The sequence below is a fragment of the Homo sapiens genome, chromosome 13, assembly GCF_000001405.40.
Source record: "Homo sapiens chromosome 13, GRCh38.p14 Primary Assembly".
In the NCBI taxonomy this organism is placed as follows: domain Eukaryota; kingdom Metazoa; phylum Chordata; class Mammalia; order Primates; family Hominidae; genus Homo; species Homo sapiens.
The window spans coordinates 72219826-72222304 of NC_000013.11; the positions used below are offsets into that span (position 1 = coordinate 72219826).

Below are 2479 nucleotides of genomic sequence, written 5' to 3' on the forward strand. Positions count from 1 at the left end.
CTATTCAAATTTTTTATTTTTCCTTGATTCAATCTTGGTAGGTGATATGTTTCCAACACTTTATCAAGTTCCTCTGGACTTTCCAGTTTGTAAGCATATAGTTGCTCATAATAGTCTCATTCTTTTTTATTCTTTTTTTCTTTATTTTTGTCTGACTAGACTATTTTAAAAGACTTGTCTTCAAGTTCTGGGATTATTGCTTCTGCTTGATCTAGTCTCTTGCTGAAGGCTTTAAATGTATTTTGAATTTCATTCGATGGATTGTTTAACAGCAGATTTCTGTTTGTCTCTTTTTAAAAATAGCTACCTCTTTGTTGAAGCTTTCATTCATATACTGAATAGTTTTTCTAGTTTCTCTGTATTGTTTTCCGGAATTCTTTTGTATCTCACTGAGTTTCTTTAAAATCAGTATTTTGAATTTTTCATCTAGAATTTCATGAATTTCTTTTTGATTCAGGTCTGTTGCTGGAGGATTACTGTGTCCTTTTGGAGGTATCCTATTTCCTTGCTTTTTCCTGTTTCCTGTATCCTTATGTTGATATCTGTGCATCTGCTATAAAAGTCACTTCTTCCAATTTTTTGAAATTGCTTCCATGGGGAGGACATTTTCCTGAAGTTGTATAGATGTCTTTTGTTAGATAGGGCACTTTGGCTTTCACTTTGGATGCATGCAGTAGTATAACCTCTGTGTAATTTCTTCAGCTATAAACAGTGTCAGTAGTGTCTGTGATTTCCTCAGTTGCTTAGGGTGAGTTATTAGTAGAGGCTATGGTGAAGTTTTTTGGGGGGCCCAGTGCTGGCAGAAGTGAGTTAAGCATGCCTGTCCTGGGGACCCAGGGAAGAGTACACTGGCACAAGTGTTGGTGTGTCTCGGAGGGCCAATTCTTGGGCCTCCAGGTGGCTTGCTCAGAGCAGGTAGTGATAACAGTGGGCCAGGCACGTGAGCAGGTTCTCCGGTCTCTGGGCAGTGGGTGTGATGTGAGTGAAGGTAGTAGCAGCCATGGAGCAACCCACTGGAACCCAGGCAGACAATGCTGGTGTTGACAGTGGCTGCAATAGGTTGGTCAGGCAGGTCCCCTGGCCTACTCATAGGATGTATATCCAGTTGTGTTCATATCCATAGGTCCCACCAGCCTAATCTCACCCTCTAGGGGGTGTGTATAGGTGCCAACAGTGCTGGGGAAAGTAGGGTGATCCTCCAGTACCTGACAACGTGCTTCAGTACTTGGGGGATGGACCCTGGCAGGTGGACTTGTCCTCAGGCTGCTCAGTAGTGCATTCAGGTACTGGCTGTGGTAGGCAGGGGTGGGGCGATCCCCAGGCTTCCAGCAGAATGCCCATCCATCACAGTGACAGTTGTGCTGTGGGACTGCTACTGGGGAGGACAGGACCACTGTCAGTGGGAACAGAGTAGGCAGATAGCTATGGGATGCACAGTTTCCTCATGCCTTATTCCCACAGCAGGGACCTACAGCAGTAGCAGTGGAATTTTTCCTAGAAGTGCATGAAAGTGCTGGCTTCCCCTCTCCTTCTTTGGCCTGGAAGTCAGTGGCAACATCAACCCTGGCCCCAGGGCAGGATGCAGACCTTTGGAGGTTGGGCTCTCAGAATGGTGCTGGCTGGGCGCCTGCCACTGGGAAGGTGGAGTCACTTTCAGTGCGAGCAGGGTAGGTAGGTGCCTGAGGGAATGTGGCTTGCTTGCTCCTCAGCGCCCCCAGCGGCCCACAGCAGCAGTGACAGGATTTGTCCTTGGAATGCATGAAGGTGCCCATCCTTTCTCTCCCTCCTTGGCAGGAGTGGCAGCGTTGCCATCAGGGCAGGATGCAGTCCTTTGGAGTCTTCGCTCTCAGAATGGCACCAAGCTGCTGTTGCTCGGGGCTCAGAGGCCTGTGGGAGTCCAGTGTGAGTTCCCTCTCTGTAGCAATTCCTCTGTGTAATCTCTAGGCAGCTTCCTATGTTAGTCTCACAGCCCTTGTGGTTCAAGGGACGCTCATGTAGCTAGGTTTGCAGAAATCTGTGGCAGGATTGTGGAGCCCTAAGGGTCTTCACTTACCCTTTCTCCACATCTGGGAGCTTCTCCAGGCTGCCAGTCATTCCCAGATGAGCATACTGCATCGCATCTCTCTCCTTTGCTTTCCGTTCTTTCCGTGATTTTTCTATTGAATCCCAGTGCTCCCTTTTAGGCAATCTGTTCCAAGGGTGCATATCTACTTGTTACTTTGGTTCCTCTCAGTGGAGGAAGAGCCTGTTAGCTGTATGTAGTCAGTCATCTTGATCAGCTGTCCTAAAATACCCTGTTTATTTCGTCTCAGTCTGGTGTTCCCAGAAGGCTGAAGTTGAGACAAAGGTTTGCTTGCAGCTAAAGTGACTGGGTAAAGTGATTCCAAGAAATAGAAGTAGGTTATCAAGAAAAGAGAAAAAAAAGTCAATATCAGGTTGTTCTTTCAAGCTGGTCAGTATTATGCAAAACTGGAGTATG

General features: G+C 46.7%; 1 annotated feature.

The window, feature by feature from the left end:
- Positions 1306-1806: an enhancer, noted in NCBI's record as "H3K4me1 hESC enhancer chr13:72795269-72795769 (GRCh37/hg19 assembly coordinates)". NCBI's record gives its function as "activates a minimal SCP1, AML or CMV promoter by ChIP-STARR-seq in primed H9 embryonic stem cells {active_cell/tissue: H9 hESC(primed)}" and the evidence as "EXISTENCE:reporter gene assay evidence [ECO:0000049][PMID:30033119]".